The sequence below is a fragment of the Homo sapiens genome, chromosome 1, assembly GCF_000001405.40.
Source record: "Homo sapiens chromosome 1, GRCh38.p14 Primary Assembly".
Classification (NCBI taxonomy): Eukaryota; Metazoa; Chordata; class Mammalia; order Primates; family Hominidae; genus Homo; species Homo sapiens.
Window position 1 is genome coordinate 58,540,748 of NC_000001.11, and position 18,523 is coordinate 58,559,270.

General features: G+C 41.5%; 2 protein-coding genes across 2 annotated transcripts in view, besides 4 other annotated features; both read right to left on the bottom strand.

The window, feature by feature from the left end:
• DAB1 (DAB adaptor protein 1) overlaps nucleotides 1–5,979 on the bottom strand; it is a 1,551,949-nt gene extending 1,545,970 nt beyond the window's left edge. Inside the window, exon 1 of the mRNA NM_001379461.1 lies at nucleotides 5,956–5,979. The gene's annotated coding sequence lies outside the window, so the exon portion shown is untranslated. The remainder of the gene's footprint in view (nucleotides 1–5,955) is intronic.
• OMA1 (OMA1 zinc metallopeptidase) overlaps nucleotides 1–5,979 on the bottom strand; it is a 66,008-nt gene extending 60,029 nt beyond the window's left edge. The window contains exon 1 of the mRNA NM_145243.5: nucleotides 5,956–5,979. The gene's annotated coding sequence lies outside the window, so the exon portion shown is untranslated. The remainder of the gene's footprint in view (nucleotides 1–5,955) is intronic.
• Nucleotides 5,388–6,014: an enhancer, noted in NCBI's record as "H3K27ac hESC enhancer chr1:59011807-59012433 (GRCh37/hg19 assembly coordinates)". NCBI's record gives its function as "activates a minimal SCP1, AML or CMV promoter by ChIP-STARR-seq in primed H9 embryonic stem cells {active_cell/tissue: H9 hESC(primed)}" and the evidence as "EXISTENCE:reporter gene assay evidence [ECO:0000049][PMID:30033119]".
• Nucleotides 5,628–5,717: a silencer, noted in NCBI's record as "silent region_931". NCBI's record gives its function as "represses an Ori minimal core promoter by ATAC-STARR-seq in GM12878 lymphoblastoid cells {active_cell/tissue: GM12878}" and the evidence as "EXISTENCE:reporter gene assay evidence [ECO:0000049][PMID:35858748]".
• Nucleotides 5,728–5,827: a silencer, noted in NCBI's record as "silent region_932". NCBI's record gives its function as "represses an Ori minimal core promoter by ATAC-STARR-seq in GM12878 lymphoblastoid cells {active_cell/tissue: GM12878}" and the evidence as "EXISTENCE:reporter gene assay evidence [ECO:0000049][PMID:35858748]".
• Nucleotides 6,228–6,417: an enhancer, noted in NCBI's record as "active region_1083". NCBI's record gives its function as "activates an Ori minimal core promoter by ATAC-STARR-seq in GM12878 lymphoblastoid cells {active_cell/tissue: GM12878}" and the evidence as "EXISTENCE:reporter gene assay evidence [ECO:0000049][PMID:35858748]".

An 18,523-nucleotide genomic window follows, 5' to 3' on the forward strand; every position in this document is an offset into this window, starting at 1 on the left:
AATAACTTCAAGTGGCCTAATATTCATCTAACTGAAGTCCCCAAAAAGCGGGGAGGAGGTGTAGACAGAAAAAAAAAACACTTGAAATAATGGCCAAAAGTTTTCCAAACTTGATGAAAATTATAAAACCACAAATTCAAAAAGTTTAACAAATCCTACACAAAAGAAACACAAAGGAAAAAAACTACAAGGCACATAACTTCTTAAAATCAATGAAAGATAAAATCTTAAACTTGACATCTTAGGTGAACTGTATAAATTCATTGAAAAACACAAAAAAAGCTGGGCATGGTGGCTCACGCCTGTAATCCCAGCACTTTGGGAGGCCGAGGCAGGTGGATCATTTGAGGTCAGGCATTCGAGGCGTGAAACCCCGTCTCTACTAAAAATACAAAAATTAGGCAGGTGTGGTGGCACTTGCCTGTAATCCCAGCTACTCAGGAGGCTGAGGCAGGAGAATCGCTTGAACCCGGGAGGCGGAGGTTGCAGTGAGCCGAGATGACGCCACTGCATTCCAGCCTGGGCAACAGAGTGAGACTCTGTCTCAAAAAAAAAAAAAAAAAAAAAAAAAAAAAAAAAAAAAAAACAGGAAAAACACAAGAAAGTACATACTCTGATTACATCTCTATAATATAAACTGCAAAAAATGCAAACTAATCCATAGTGACAGAGAGATGAGTGACTGCTTGAGGAGTTGTAGGAAAAAAGCAGCAGGGGAAGGGATTACAAAGAGTGGTGCTTGCCTGTAAACCCAGCTACTTGGGAGGCTGAGGCAGGAGAATCACTTGAACCTGGGAGGCAAGAGACTGCAGTGAGCCAAAATTGTGCCACTACACTCCGGCGTGGGCAACAGAATGAGAACCTGTCAAAAAAAAAAAAAAAAAAAAAAAAAAACCAAAAACAAAAAACAAAAAAACCCAGATTGAGGGAATCTAAATATGAATTGAATTTCAAGTTGTTTTAGGTAATTATTATTTTCTTAGGTGATAATATTGTGGTTATCTGACTATTTTATTCCTGAGATACTTGCTGAAGGATCTGTTCATGATAAATAAAACTCACTTTCAAATTGTACAGCAAAGGTACACACACAAAGGACATAAAGTCAATAAACAAAATATCAGCAATCATTGTATCTCAGTGATAGTTACATATGTGTTCCTTAAATTTTTCTGCATGTTTCAAAATCTTCATATAAAAGTTGGGGAAAAAAATATGTAAACTTCAACCTAAGCTAATACGATATTATCTAGAAAGATGCTCCAGGACTACCAGTTTTAATAGTATTATCTATATATCAAACCATTTGAAAATTACTCAAATTTATTTTTTATGTAATTCATACATCCTGCCCTTGCACTGTTAATGTATAATGTTAATAAAGGGCATGCTAAGTAAAACATTAACTTTGAGTTAACCCTTTTTGAAATACAACCAATTTTAAATTAGTAAAGTCCAGGCTGATATATAATAGTTTGACATTATTAACAAGATACTTTGTTTTTACTTTTTTGAACCAAGCTGAAAAATTGTTAAATAATTTAAGCCTAGAAGTCATTTCACAATTCATACTGGAGTAGCTAGTAAGGTTTTCATTGGCTAGGGGCCATGAGAGTTATGCAGCACAGAATATAGTCCTGCTCTCATGGAGGTTATAATCTAGTTGGGGAGACAAAACTGAACCTAAGTAAGACTATTAGGGGATAATAAAATTCAGTTATTAAATACTACATACTGTATGCATTCTTAAAAAGACATCCATGAGTAGCTGAAGAGTTCAGGAAGGCAGCAATTATTTTTCATGCCATTTAGGCAGATGCAGAAAGACAAAAAAAAATGGAAAGAACTGTTTTAAATGGGAAAGTGTTTTAAGGTTTAAATGTAAAGTCTTCTTCTAGAAGTCAAACTGCAAAAACAACCCAAGCCCACTTTCTTTCCTTGACCTCAAATCTGATGATTTACTGTAGTAGATAAGCTTCAGACACTTGCCCAAGCACAAGTCCTTTTCCAAATGTGCATCTTACAGCCTCATTTTAGGGGACAGGCTTAGACGGCCACATTCATCCCTAGCAACCCCTACCATTAGCTACAGAGCTAGGAGTAGGTATTTGATACTGAAAAGATTTTACATAAAACAGTATTCCGCACAGGAATATAAGGGCATGTGTAAGTTGGGTCTACAGCGGGTGCTATGGCTAAACAAAGCAATATGAAAGCAAGAACTACAAACAAAAAGCTTTTTTAAAAAAAAAAAAGTGGATCCACAGAAAAGACAATGGACTATTAAGTGTAGACAGAAGATAAGTGAGAGACCACAAAGCCAGAGTGAATATGAGAGAATAAGACCTCCCTGATTCCCATGAAACCATTGTACTTCCTACACTTAATTGAGCTTCATGAGCTTTTACTTTATCCCCAAAATAATGCGCTTTCTTCAATGAGTTTCTGTATTCTGCAAATAAATGATCTCTAAGACGTTTACATGGTATAAAACAGTTATACATTTGTTTTTGTAAATTGACAGCATTTTAATATTATACATGTTGTTTACTGGAACTAGCTGAGGGTTCCTCCTACACTTTGCAAAGCCAAATTTACCAATTTTCAACATTTAATCAGTTCCAGAAATACTGGATTATCTCTACAGCAACTTTAGCATCCAAAATATCTCAGCCCACATTAAATCAGTCATGTCAATTCTACCTCCTTCTTATCTCATTCTAGCCTTTCCTGGGCTCTGTGGTCTTATGGTGTTGATCACTACCCACCTAATCTCCCTGCCTTATTTCACCACTAACCCCTCCCACTACAGTTTGACCCCAAACTAGAGCTAAAGCATTATTTCTAAAATGCAAACCCTGGCAACAGAATCCTACCCCGACAATTAACATACAGTCCTACCCTGGTAAATACCAGGTAATCATTTAAAAAATGACATGATGATCTGTAAATCTTTAAAAGATTTAAAAGATAGCAATCTCTGGCAAAGGGATATACAAATTTAAAAATAATAATAAATGCTACCTAAAAACTTCTGTATAACAGAGGTGGCAAACTCAAACGTCTAAAGAAGCACCATACAACAGACCTTTCTACAATGATAAAAATGTTCATGTCTGCACTGTCCAATAAGGTAGCCCCTACATGTGGCTACTGAGCATTTGAAATGTGACTGGTGCATCTGAGGAATGAAATTTTTAACTCAGTTAAATGGCCATATGTGGCTAGTGTCTACTGTATCGCACAGTACAGGTTTGTAGGGTCCAGGCAAGTGAATATCAGCAAAGTGATACTGATGTGAATGCAGATTCATGACCATCTAAAGGAGGTGCAAACAGTTATGATGGAATTTGAACTTGCTGTGGCCAAATGATTCAAAACTTTTAAGTAAAGCCAGAATTTCAGATTTTAGGTGAAATTTATCAATTTTTAAATGTTGGCAATGAACTTAAAAAATTTTAACGACCTTAACCAAACATTCAGATTTTGTATTTTTGACCTCTGAACTGTATTATTATTCATTCATTCTGAAAATGTTTAATGAGTGCCCACTAAATGCTAGGCACCATAATGGATGCTAGAGATACTGCAGAGAACAAAACAGATTTTAAAAAACCCTCCCCAATTTGCAAAAATAGTAATGAGAAAATATGCTAGTATATACAAAAATAAATCTGAAAAAAGATACACCAAACTATTCACAATTATTTTGAATGGCAGGATGGTGGTTAAGAGGGATTATTAGTATTTTCACCTTATATATTTCTGTGCAGTTCAAATTTCTACGGGATGTATTATTACTTTTTTAAACCTCCACTCAGGCAACTATTTCTGTAATTCCCATTGTTTTTCTTTTCTTTTCGAGACAGGGTCTCACTTTGTCGTTGTCCAGGCTGGAGTGCAGTGGTGCCACCTCGGCTCACTGCAACCTCGCCTCTTGGGTTCAAGCAATTCTCGTGCCTCAGTCTCCTCAGTAGCTGGGATTACAAGCATGCATTACCACATCTGGCTAATTTTTGTATTTTTAGTAGAGACGGGGTTTCGGCAAATTGCCCAGGCTAGTCTCGAACTCCTGGCCTCAAGTGATCTGCTCACCTCGGTCTCCCAAAGTGTTGGGATTATAGGCCTGAGCCACCGCACCTGGCCAGCCCAGCTAATTTTTTAATTTTTTTCTGTAGACACGGTGTGTCACTATGTTGCCCAGGCTGGTTTTTAACTCCTGGGCTCAACTGATCATACTGCACTGCGAAGTGTTGGGATTACAGTCATGAGCCACCACGCCTGGACTTTCGTTGGTTTTCCATGGCTTCCACAAACTCCTTCATATGGCGAACCAGGCCCTCCTACTACTTCTCCAGGCACCTTCCCCAACCCTCCTTCACCCATTCCTAAATTCCAAACTCCCTGATTTACTTACACCCCACAGAAAAAGAAAGCTCTCATCTCTATGTCTATGCACATCTATTCACACTGCTTAGCTCTGCACATGACAAGCAAACTCCTTCTCATTTCTCATGACTTGTGTAAAAATTTTAAAAGAATCCTATTGACACAGAAGGTATAAGCAAAAGCCCCAACACTACGCATATATAATTAAAACCATTATCATTTCTATCACTGACAACCAAGTGTCGTTTTGAATAGAAACAGTGCCTGATATTTTGTAATACCCGGTTTATCCTGAAGAAAGGGTAAAGAATGAGGGAAGAAATCTATTCATGCATTTTCAAGGAGCCAATCACTAGACTACAGAGCACATAAGAAAAAAAAAAATCAGGGCTGACATATTCTCTTCAAAGAGCTGTGGCAGGTCAACAAACATAGCTGGCAGACTTCTAGGATAACAAAATTAATGATGTGAGAAAATTAAACAATTTGGATTGTTAGCCTCTACGAACATTTCAGATCCTTAATTCTTTAAGTACCATCTCCGAATGAGCAAGTGCAGCACTCACTGGCACTCACAGCTGAAGCCTGGAAGACAGTTTTAACAACTCTTGCTGAAAATGACTATTTCTTCTCTAGTTTCTATGGAAACAGCTGTCAGATTGGCAAAAATAGGACATGTACTTTAAAATAATCATTCAAGCAAAGTACACACATGATGGAAGGCTTTAAAAAAGAATTGGACGGCAGCAGACTTGGTTCTTAAGCTTCCAAATGTCAGACTACACCCCTTCACCCCGGCTGAGAATGACGGAGATGAACCTAAATCCTTTTAGCGAGGGTTGCACGACCTTGATCAACGCCTGAATGCCAAATAAGGGATTTTCATCTCCCTGGACTACAATTTCTTGTTGAGGATTGCACGGCACAATAAAACTGTTGCTCCACACACAGGCGACATTTAAACAGTATACAGTGAGTTCTGTAGACGAGTTTACGAGGAAATTGTTAAAACTCCCCGGAACTGCTTAGACGGGGAATGTTCTGGTTTGCCCTGCCGAGTTTAGGCTGGAAAACGTGTTCAGTTTCTCCTGAAGAGGGAAGGGGTGAAAGAGACGAATGCCCGACGCGCCGGGAGGCGGTCCCCTCTGGCAGAGGTGCCGGGTGAGGAGCCCGAAGCCCCGCGGGTGAGAAACCCTGCTCTGAAAGCGGAGCCGCGGATAAGGGCGGGCTGAGGGGGAGGGCAGGCGGCCCACGAAAGTACTGCCACGGGGCAGACACACGGGGTCACCGGCGTGCCCCGGGCAAGGCTAGGGGAGAACCGGGCTCCCCCAGGACAGATCCCCTCCGTCTCCCGCCCCGGCGCCCCCCGCCCCTCCCCTCCACGCAGCCTTATCGCCCACCCACGCCTCCTCCCGTACCCCCATCCCCAAGGATCCCCACTCCTTGCCCGGGCGCCCCCGCAGGCGCTCTGCGCTCCGCCCCCTCCCCACTGCCGCACTCTGCCTCCTCCCCTGGGCACGATCCTACTCGGAAAAGCTGGGGAAAAGCGTCACCGTGAGGACTGACTCAAGCAGAAGCGAAAGCGGTGACACCGCAGACCCGACCTATGCGCAGGCGCGCACCCGCACTTCCTGCCCGCCATACCGGCCGGGGCGCCCTTCGCTCCGCCCACACCCGGCAGTCAATACAGCCGCCCAGAGTCGTTCTCCCAGCTGCCCCGGGCCCCGCGGAGACTGTGGCGCTCTAGCGCCTCCGTGTGGCTTAAGGCGGGACATGGCCCTGGGCTGGGCTGCTTGCCTAGGAACAACTTTCTCCCGTCTTTGGTGAGTTGGGTCCTCTAAAGAATGATCCACGCAAGGCTGTGTCCGTTGTAGTCTCTACGGCAGTACCGGCCAAAAGGGAAGAGACTCGAAGACTGCCAAAAGACGAAGGCTTCCTGGTTCTGAATCTGCATTCATAGAAATAGTCTTTGGAGTATGGGAACAGTGCTTTCATATGATTTTTGGAGGGACGCATTTTAAGAAAGATGAAGTATAATCTTAAGTGTCTGGAGGTTAAAGTAGCTGGCTCCAAAATTATGTGTATAGTATGTTTCATTCATTTCACCAAAACATATTTCTTGAGCATCAACTACATTTTAAGTGCCAAGGATGTAGCAGTGAACAAGACAGACCTGAATTTCGTGAACTTTATATCACAGTGAGGAAAGACAGGCGATTAAAAAAAAGTGTACAAATAAACACAAATAAATAAAAGTGTACAAATAAGCCAGTACAAATAAACACTGGATTGTGATGGATGAGTAGTGAGGTCTCATATTAGTTTATTATGTTTACACTCTGTGCACAATGAAAACATCTCAAAGGACATAAACACTATGTCAAAGGACATAAACACTATGAACAATTTTAGGTATCTCTTTTGGAAAATGTGTAAGTTACTGTTTCGTTTATCTTATGTGTATTTTATGATTTGCCTTTTACTTTGAAAGGGATATCCTGGAAAACCCCTGACAACTGGACCCCTAAAAACTGAAGTAGGAGGTCCTTCAGTCTTCGTAGGGTTTATCTCCCAAACTCTGGAGTGCACATGTCTTACCAAAGTTTCCAGCATGCTAGCCACCTCTTGCTCATCTTGCCTGGTTAGCATAATGTCATTGGTGAAATAGATGGGTGTGATGTTCTCTGGAATTTCCAGTTGATCCAGCTCCTTTTGGACTGCGCAGAGCCATTATGTCATTATCCTGGGTCCACCTGATTTCCAAAGGGGCCAGACTGGCAAGTTAAGTAGAGATATGGCAGGGATGACCAACCACTCTTGTATATTTCAGGTCTTTAATTATGACATTAATCTCCACCATCATCTCACTATCCCCTCAGATGAAATATCGGTTTTGATTTATTATCTTCACTTGGAAAGAAGGACAGCTTCAGAGGCTTCCCATTGGCTTTCCCCACCATGATAACTCAAGACCAAGGACCCTGAGCTTCTTACCAATGTGGAGATTGCTCCAGCTGCCCAATATGTACTCCCAATTATGCACTCAGGAACTAAGAAAATGACTACTGGATGGGTCAGTGTATTCCTGGACCCACTGTAAGCTGGACATTATCCAGGACTCTGCTTATTACCTGATCCCCATAAGCCCCCACACTTAGAGAGGAGCCATGTGTGTTACATACTTTGGGTAACACCTGTGAAATGTCTGGGTATTCCTCTTTCCTCAACATAAAATCAGTCAAGAAAATGGCCGTGGGACACAGACCAAAGAGTAATCATTAATTACAGTAAATATTTGTTTCAGTATTGCAGGATTCTTCTTTATAGGGACCCAACAACCTCTTAAGTCAACAGATTCTGTGGTCTCAGTGTGAAGATAGGCTCAGGTCTGAGACTTGAGCAATGAGCAGTGCCTTTTATTAAGCAACTACTCCCTGCATAGGATAAATAGCTTCTTGTCTTCCTCCAGTTGTAGATGTTAGGCAACACTCTTGTTGGCTGCCCGTCTGTTTTTCCCCTAGGGAGACCTTATGCTATTAAAGCCCTCCACAACCTCCTGTGGATCAAGCCCCCTTGGCTGCTCCTCTGCCCTTGGCAGATGTTACAGTAATTACATCTTCTGGTGTCCTCATGGTTAAAGCCACCACCTGGCTTCTACTACTTCAGGATCCTGTTATCCCAATGGATATTATCAAGCCCAGCCCTGTGATTGCCTCTCCTACCGTCAGCCCTTCCCTCCAGAGGAGAGCCTTCTCTGAACTTCTTAGTGATGCTAGTGCCCCTCACGCCAGTGCATTCCCCATGGCCATAGAATATGATGCATCCTCTGGGCCTCCCATGGAACATTCCCCTCTGTCTGCCTTCGGGCTCTACACACAAAAAAAATTCTTTCAGGCAAGTCCACTTCCCTCAGCTCCTCTGTCCTTCTACCATTTGCAAGGGCAATTCGGGCATTCCTGCTTTACTCTGCATGCACTATGGCTTTCTCTCAGCTTCTAATAGTCACCTAGCAGTGAGTTTACCCATCTTCTACAGTCCCAAGTCCCAAGAAAGTGCCCCCAAGACAATGAATTTTTATTTAGCCAGGCTTGTTCTGGAATAGGAATTAAAAGAAATTAAAGAATGTGTAAACAGAAACTCAGTTCTATGTAAGAAAACCCACCTCCCCCCGAGAAAGAGAAAGAGCTGGAGTCCTTTAAATATTAACTGCCTGTTTTTCTGTGGCTAGTGAGCCTTATCTCTCCCTTTCCCAGGCATTGTAAAGACCCTGTTTCTTTAGCTGTGCGCTGCAAGGTCACTAGACAGATAAACTCAAGCCATTAAGACACGTTTTTCCTTGAAAAGTAAGAAATGATGTAATGCATGCCTCAATTAATTAAATAACTGTCTTTGTTTCTTGCTTCTGTAACATGCTTCTCCCTGCACAGATCTCCCCCAACCCCATAAAATGCTTAAAAGGTAACTTGACTCTTTGTTCGGGGCTCAGTCCTTTGGATGTTAATCCGACTGGGCCGGTGCACCTAAATAATAAATCCTCCTCAACCTCTTGGTATCTCTGATTCCTTATCAATCCCGCCACAGTTCCTGCCCACTTTGATCAAGCACCTTCAGAAATCCCATTCCAGGGGTCCTCTCCTGGCTCCTGCTGGTACACGCTAGGTAGTTCCTTTAGCTCCTACATTATGCAGTCTTCCTCCCCACACCTTTACAGGCCCAACACACAGGCAGCTGGGTGATGCTGGAATTTAACCTGAGTTATCACCCTGGCAGATATCTAAGAGGAGATGGGGCAGGTCCTGAGTGGGCACCTATTTATTCCTTACGCTAGAGGCTTCAACACTGCCTTCCCACTTAAGGGAAGTGTTAGCTTTGACTAGGGAAGGGTCAGCCACCTCTGCAAGCTCTGAGGATCTGCAGTCAGTATCCTCAGGGATTCTATCAGGATGTCCCATTTCATGCTTCAAGATTCCAGATTTTCCCAACCAGGGCCCAGACCTGCCTTGGCTAAGCGTTTAAACATCTCTGGGGCTCTACAACTCTTTTCATGAAAATCTCTTTTGCTCCTCTGCTGTCCACACTCCTCCACTGCAGGTGATAAGAGCCTGTCTGTTACCTACCAAGGAGACCTCTGACTCCCACTCAGCCTTAACTGTTTACAAATGACCCTCACTTTCTCATTATCCCATGCAGGGCATCAACACAATGTAGCAATAACCAGCCCACTGCACTGTTCTTTCAGACACTGCTCCCTCCATCTTTCAAGTGCATTAACTATCTCACCTAAATGGCATTGCCCTCCACTGGGCCAGTTTCCCAGGTCGCCATCACTGAAATCCACACGGGGGCCACTATCTTGTGCCAGACACTATCCAAGACCCCACATTCCACTCAAGATGGAGTTCTTGTAGCCAGTTGGGCAATTAATGAGCCACTCTCAGAGCCGATCTTACCATCTTCTTCTCAGATCACCCCACTTCTAGTCCACCTGTATCAACAGGCCCTCTAAAAAGCAGATGCCAGGGTGGAATCAGATGTGCAAGACATATTTACTGCGTGGAAAATCCTGGGAAGGATAATGGAGCAGGAGCAGGAATAGACAGGAAGGGCCCTCAGATCATGACACTGGTTAAAGGAGAGAGGGAAAGAAGAAAGACTGGATTAGAAGCACCTCAGGTAGTAGCACAGTTCTAAGAAGGTTTTGAAAATGAGGAGTCCTTAGGCCAAAATTGCCTGCTTAGAGGAGTTCCATATTTTGCAGAGATGGGCATCCACTAGTGTTCACACCATGCATGATCATTGGCTAAGAGCAGTCTATGGGGAGCATGCGCTTGTTACAAATGGAGTTGGGGAGCCAGAAGGTCAGGGGCAGGGCCTGGCAGTCAACTATGCTCCCCAGAGCAGATCTGAGCGGCACATTTTCCCGGTCACGGCTGCTGGAGGATTTAGAGTTTGAATAAGTCCTCTGTTCTGGCTGTACATCTTCTTTGTGCTGCCCTTTAAGCAATTTTTTAATCAACGTGCTATGGACTGAATGTTTGTATCCCTCTGAAATTCATATGTTGACCCCTAAATTCCCAATATTAACAGTATTTGGAAATGGGGGCCTTTAGGAGGTAATTAGGTCATGGGGGTGGAGCTCTCATGAATGAGATTCAAGTCTGTAAGGAGATAAAGGGATCAGAGAGCTCCCACTCTGCCACGTGAGGATAAAACAAGACAGCTGTTCGTACACGAGGAAGAGGGTCCTCACAAAATCCAACCATGCTGGCATCTTCATTTCAGACTTTCAGCTTCCCAAACTGTAAGAAAAAATAGTTTGTTGCTGAAGCCAGTCAGTCTACAGTACTTTGTTGTAGCAACCTGAACTGACTGAGACACATGATCAGATTCCATTCTCAGAACCAACCTTCCAACCAAGCAATATTGATTTGCTACACTTAAAAGTTTGGCTTTTGTCAAATTTCCAAAGCTATTTACCCCGTCTGAATTCAGAGGATTGACATGAATAATTTCCTTTGGATATGCCCTTGGGAAAAGGGCTTCATTTTAAGCACAGCTTAATGAGGTGTAAGAAGCTTTTGAAGGTGTTCTTTACAGAGTATTCATGGTAGGAGGTTTGCTTGAAGGGTCACACTGAAGACTGTGTCCCGTGACAGCATCACTGAAGTTTGACTTTGGATGTAACACTGAAAGTAGATGCTGTGCTACACCAGCAGATCCCCATTCACTGAAGTTATCATTCTGGCAGCTGCCTGCCTCCCTAGAGATTTCCCTTGGCTGGAGACACCGGCTTCATCCAAGGATAGGCTCTCTGCCCAGCGACAACACTTACCCCACAAACTTTGGGAGTACACAGTCCTGACTCCTATGCATCAATTGAGGATAACACTGCAAGGCCATCCACGCGGCAGAGACCTCCATGGGACTGGAAGCTCCACTTCTGCCTCTACCCAGTCCTGTTTCCCTTACTCCCTTATAAGTGTTGTTCCTTGGCCAGGCACAGTGGCTCACGCCTGTAATCCCAGCAACTTGGGACGCTGAGGTGGGCAGATCACTTGAGGTCAGGAGTTTGAGATCAGCCTGGCCAACATGGTGAAGCCCCTGTCTCTACTAAAAATACACACATACACACACACACACAAACACACACACACACACACACACACACAGAGATTAGATAGGCATGGCGGCTCGTGCCTATAGTCCCAGCTACTCGGGAGGCTGAAGCAGAAGAATTGTTGTTCCTTGGCCGGGCACAGTGGCTCACGCCTGTAATCCCAGCAAGTTGGGACGCTGAGGTGGGCAGATCACTTGAGGTCAGGAGTTTGAGATCAGCCTGGCCAACATGGTGAAGCCCCTGTCTCTACTAAAAATACACACATACACACACACACACACACACACACACACACACACACACACACACAGAGATTAGATAGGCATGGCGGCTCGTGCCTATAGTCCCAGCTACTCGGGAGGCTGAAGCAGAAGAATTGCTTGAAGCTGAGAGGCAGAGGTTGCAGTGAGCCGAGATCACACCACTGCACTCCAGCCTGGGTGACAGAGCAAGACTCCGTCCTAAATAAATAAATAAATAAGTGTTGTTCCTGAGGTCTCTCCCCTATAAGCCTGCACAAAAAGATTTATCTCAGAATCTGTTTCCAGGGAACCCAGCCTAAAACAATTCAGTCTTCTCCAGTGGAAAACTATATTAAATGCCATGACACAGAAAGACATTCATTCACACCTCCTATAGAAAGTGCTGGATGCTGAATACTGAGTTAAAGAAGAGAGTGACTCTGAAGAATTATGAGGCATGGCTTGTCTTATAACAGGTTTAGACAGAAGTTCAACAGACAACAATCAGGCCTCTGATGATATAGATTCAGAATGAGAACCAGGTGAAACAGCCACAGGATTTGATGAGGGTCACGTACTTGGAAGGCTGCAATGTATGGGTGGCACCTTGACTGAAGTGGCCTTTCGTTTTTCTTGAATATGTGCCAGGCATGACTGTCCAAAAGGGTTGAAATTGTGAATTTGAAATCACTCCAACACAGAGAATTTCAGCATCTTCATTGAAACGTTCTACTCCAACAAAAATCAGCTCAGTGCTTACTTCAACCACAGTTGACTTCTTTTTCTTTCTTGTGTCATCCTAGCCCTTCTTCCCACATAACATGAATAAATCTGCCATTTTAAAGTTAATTTTTTGCTTGAAGAGAATGGTCACACCAAGTTCCAGTGTGTTATTTTTACGAATTGCCATCTAAATTATTAGTGCACTAGTATCCTGACTGGTCTCCCTGTCTCCAGCCTCGTTCCTCTTGTCTATACTGCAGCCACCAGGACCCAGCTCCTGAAATTGGGTGTGGGATAATTCAGTATGGCTCAGCGAGCTCCATGCAGGGCCATGGGGGAAGGTCTTACTGTGGACATGCCCTTGCTCACTCCCCAGAGATCAGTTCTTCAAAGATGCCAGATGAGCACTTTTCTAAGTGTCAGTGCAAACTATTATTTCTTTATTGCACAAGTGAAATACTAATACCATAGAAAAGCAAAACAAAAAAGAGAAAAATCACCCTTAACCTCACTATCCCAAAATAACCACTGTTAACATTTTGATGCGTAACCCACTTGAAAAGCAAGATTTAAATTACCTTAAATATTTAAAACATTGATGAGATCAAAGCTTCCTCGTTGTTTTGATGTGTATTCCTTTGATTTATAATAATGTAAATGCTTTTTCATGCTTTTATGCTGTTTGGATTTCTTCTTTAGCAAATTGCCTGTTCATGCCCTTAACCCATTTTTCTGTAATATATTCATTTGTATCTTATAAACTTAAAACATTTTTTTATACATTTAAGAATTGTCTGTCATTTATGTAGCAAACATTTTCCCCACTTGAAGTTTGTCTTTCAACTTTGTTGATTCAGGTGAAAAATACACTTAATTGCTGAAATTTTGATACAGTCAAAAATATCCATCTTTTCATTATGGTTTCTGCCTTCGAGATCATATCTACTGTCTGTCTCAAAATTAAGATTAAATATTTATCATTATTCTAGTACTTGAATGACTTTGTTCTTTCTTAAATCTTTTAAAATATTTAATCTACCAGGAATTTATTTCAGCATAAAATAGGAGGAAAAAAAATAACCTAAAATATTTTCGGAATAATTAGGCCAGTGGAGCTTTTACAAAGGATGCATGCATGTGCCCTCCCCATGGTTAGGACCACCAAAGTAACTGCTGTCCCAACAATTAATTTAACATGTCCTGACTGACTTAAAGCATCACTGTTACGATATGCTAAATTCCTGTAAATATCTACATATGTTTCTGCAGTTTCCCTTTTTTTCCTTGGTCTGACTGTTCTGGAGTTAGTGCATGATTCTTTCTATTTATTGTAACTTTGTAATATACATTTTATTTTCAAATATTGTCTGGCTCTTACACATTTGACCTTCAAGATGAACTTCTGAACAGTTTTTTTCCAGCTCCCTTCCTAAAAAAAAAGGAATTGGGATTTTTGATTCTGTTATTGTTGTTGTTTTTAATCTTGGATTCATTTGGGTGAGATGTATATCTTTGCAATGTTGACTGTCAATCTAGGAAATATGTGCATCTCCATTTATCCAGGTCTTCTTTTATGTCTCTCCATAAAGTCTTACAGTTTTCTTATATGGGTCAAAGCAGTATATTTTTAAAAGGAACTATAAACTTTACTTCTTAGGATTATGGAATCTCAGCGCTTGAAAGGACTTAAAAATCACCTCACTGGCCGGGTGCGGTGGCTCATGCCTGTAATCCCAGCACTTTGGGAGGCCGAGGTGGGCGGATCACGAGGTCAGGAGATCGAGACCATCCTGGCTAACACGGTGAAACCCCGTCTCTACTAAAAATACAAAAAAAATTAGCCCGGTGTGGTGGTGGGCGCCCGTAGTACCAGCAACTTGGGAGGCTAAGGCAGGTGAATGGCGTGAACCCGGTAGGCAGAGCTTGCAGTGAGCTGAGATCGCGCGAATGCACTCCAGCCTGGGCGACAGAGTGAGACTCCATCTCAAAAAAAAAAAATCACCTCAACACTCCCACCCCATCTGCTGCTGAGTCCCCATCTCAACCAAAGATATGTGGCATATTTTTAGTGGTTTTTTTTAACATAATGGTATCACACTATGAATATTTTCTGTAACTTCCAGGTTATCACTTGCACAACATGCCTTGGAGAAATGTCTTTATCAATACTTGTAGATCAATTTAATCCATTTTAAGCACCATAAGATGTCCTCTGGAAAAGATTTTGCATCATTTACTTTATTACTGTTGATGGACATTTAAACCATTTCTATCATTTTGCTCTCACAAACAACTCAGCTCATAACCTTGAGCTCTAACTGAAGTAAGTCTCCAAATTCCTAGAGCACACACCACTGGGGGCACAGTTCCCCTCCTCATATATCACTACCAAGTGTTGTAATGCCTGTTCAAAGAAAGGCATTTGTTTACCTTTCCATGGAGTCTCAATTCTGTTCAACAAACATCTATTGCGCATGAATTATTTAGTAAGTACTGGGCTTTTTGTTTCTAATCACTAAGATTTATTTTTTAGGGAAATTTTAGGATCACAGCAACATTGAGCAGAAAGAGTGTTTTCATCTACTCCCTGTCCCTACATGGGCACAGCCTCCCCCACCACCAAGAGTGGTACATTTGTTAAAATTAACATGCCATTATCACCCTAAGTCCGTAGTTTATATTACAGGCATTTTTAACACACTAATTTTGATACAATAAACAAATCTATATATTCAATAATACTATGGAGGCTACACTATATGCCAGATACTCTACAGAAACTGGTGCTCCAGGGAAAATAGGAAATCCCCTACTCCTCCTCTCAACCTAAACAATTCCCAAAATAAAACATGGGTCATCACATCATGGTATCTATTTATTTATAAGCACAGGTGACTCTTCATCTATCAGATCACTAGACCAGGTAGCAGATTTCCAAATAATTTGGATAACCTCTGGAATTTGAGGTATCCATGCTTAAATTTCCATGTTCTTATACATGTTACACTTTCTGTGTGTCTCCCAAGGAGACCTCCCTATTAGACAGCATCCCACACAGAAAGAGTAGCATGTACAAGATGAGGATACAAATGTGACAAGCACAAAGATTCCAATACAAGTAACTTATTTGGGAGGTGATCCTAGGAAGCACCCATTGGTGAGTAGAGAAGTGAGACAGGGAAGGAAAGAAAGCTAATAAAGAATACATTAACAAACTAGTTACAAAAGGGGCCAATGGGGTGTCGTCCCTCTGAGGACTGCTAGGAGAATGTGTAAAACAGGCCACAGAGTTTTACCAAGTGAGGATGGGAAAGCTGGGCTATTTATTCACCATTCCTGCCAGTAGCATTGGTTGAGGGCTGTCCTAGTAAGGATTAATTCTATGACACTTCCAGCCTCCTGCATATGCACATAGAGTGGGCTCCTACAGGCCAGAGAAAGACTCAAGCAAGGAGCTTCAGGTTCTGGCAGTTGCCAGTTGAACCAGTGTGTGCAGAAATATGGGCCAGGCACCAACATAAAGGGAAATGTGAGTGGACACCGGTGGCATCTGCTACAAATGCCTATTTCTATCAACACCTGGCTAATTCACTCTTCAAAACACAGGGCAAAATTGTCCACTCTGGCAAGTGTTGCATGTATCTGCACCAGGCCTGGGGAGCTACCCTACTTCTGTATACCTGGGGCAGTTTGTGCTTATGTCACTCCTACTAAAAGATTGTAAGTGGTTGCACTGAGTCCAGGTTGGCCTGACTCCACATCCCAAGCTGAAACCCCTAAGCCAATATAAGTGAGCCCCTTAGCCCACAGATGCATCACTCTAATGTCTGCCTCCATCTTCACATTGCCCTATTCTCTGTGTTTCTTAGTGTCTCTCCTCCTCTTATAAGGACAGTAGTCATTGGATTTAGGCCCACAAGATCATTAACTTAATTAACATCTGCAAAGACTCTATTTCCAAATAATATCACCATTCTTTTTTTATTATTATTATTTTTGAGACGAAGTCTCGCTTTCTCACTCAGGCTGGAATGCAGTGGCACAGTCTTGGCCCACTGCAGGCTTTGCCTCCCGGTTTCAAGTGATTCTTCTGCCTCTGCCTCCCAACAAATAAGATCACCATTCTGAAGTTCCAGATGGACATAAATTTTGGGACTCTCTTCAAACTACTACATGGACAAAACAGACCAATTAGACTAATATCATATTTTATCATTGAAGGGATAAAAATTCTACTGTGTGGCTCTTAAATTAGGCGAATATGAGACAAGGACTACTGATGTGCATTTTGGCCAAGATGAGGAAAAAGCTGGCCTAGAAAATGAAATGAAGTGAAGAGCAGATGAAGATATTAAGAAATAGACAATCAGCATAAGCTTATATCTATTAAGGAAACTGATCCAATAATTAATAATCTTCCATAACAGAAAACCCCAGACCCAGGTGGATTTAATGGTAAATTCTACCAAACATTTAAAGAAGAAATTATACTAATTCTCTACAATCTGTTTCAGAAGATAGAAACAAAGGAATACTTCCTAACTCATTCTATAAGGCCAGCATTACCTTAATACCAAAACCAGACAAAGATATAAGAAAATAAAATATATCAGCAAATATCTTTCATGAACATAAATGCAAAATTCCTCAAAAAAATGCCACCATATTGAATACAACAATGTATAAAAGGATTCTTATAGCACGACCAAATGGGAATTATTCTAGATATTCATAGGTCAACACTTAAAAATCAATTAATGTAATTTATCACATCAGCAGGCTAAAGAAGGAAAGTCACATGATCGTATTAATACATGCAGAAAAAGCGTTTGACAAAATCCTATGTCTAGTCATAAAAACAAAAACCTCTCAGTAAACTAGGAACAGAGGGAAACTTCCTAAACTTGGTAAAGAATCTCTACAAAAAGCCTACAGCTAACGTCATACTTAATGGTGAAAAACTAGATGCTTTCCCACTAAAATCAGGAACAAGACAAGGATGTCACCTCTCACCACTGCTTTGCAACCTTGTACTAGAAGTCAAAACTAATGCAATACAATGAGAACAAGAAATGTAAGGTATATGGATTGGGAAGGAAGAAATAAAACTGTCTTTGTTGTAGATGACATGTTCATCTAAAGACAGAATCCAAAAGAATTAACCAAAAAGAGAAAAAAACCCTCCTGAAACTAATAAGCAATTAAAGCAAGGTTGCAGGATACAAGATTAATATGCAAGTCAACTACTTTCCTACATGCCAGCAATAAACAAGTGAAGTCTGAAATTAAAAACACAATACCATTTACATTAGCATCACTCAAAATGAAATACTTAGGTATAAATTTTTCTTTTTAAGTATAAGATCTATATGAGAAAAAGTGCACAATTTTAATGAAAGAAATCAAGAACTAAATAAGAGATATTCTGTTATTCATGGATGGGAAGACATAATATTGTCAGTCAGTTCTTCCCAACTTGACCTATAGAGTCAATGTAATTTCAATGAAACTCTCATCGAGTTATTTTGTGGATATTGCCAAACTAATTCTAAAAGCAAAGACGCCGGAGTAGCCAAGACAATATTAAAAGTGAACAAAATTAGAGAACTGACACTACCAGACTTCTAGACTTACTATGAAACTACAGTAATCAAGACAGTGCTGTACTGGCAAAAGAAGAGACAAATAGACCAAAGGAACAGAAAAGGGAGTCCGAGTCCAGAATTAGACCCATATAGATATAGTCAACTCATCTTTGACAAAGAAGCAAAGGTAATACAATGGAGAAAAGATAATCTTTTCAAAAAATGGTGCTGGAACAACTAGATAGCCACATACCAAAAAACAAACAAACAGAAAAAAAAAAAACGAATCTAGACACAGACCTTACACTCTTCACAAAAATTAACTAAAAATGGATTACGGATGTAAATGTAAAATGCAAAACCAAAAGACTCCATTTTGCATTGTAAAATGCAAAAGTATAAAAATAGATTTTCTCACGGTGTTGCTCCAGCCTGGGAGAAAATCTAGATGACCTTGCATTTGCCAA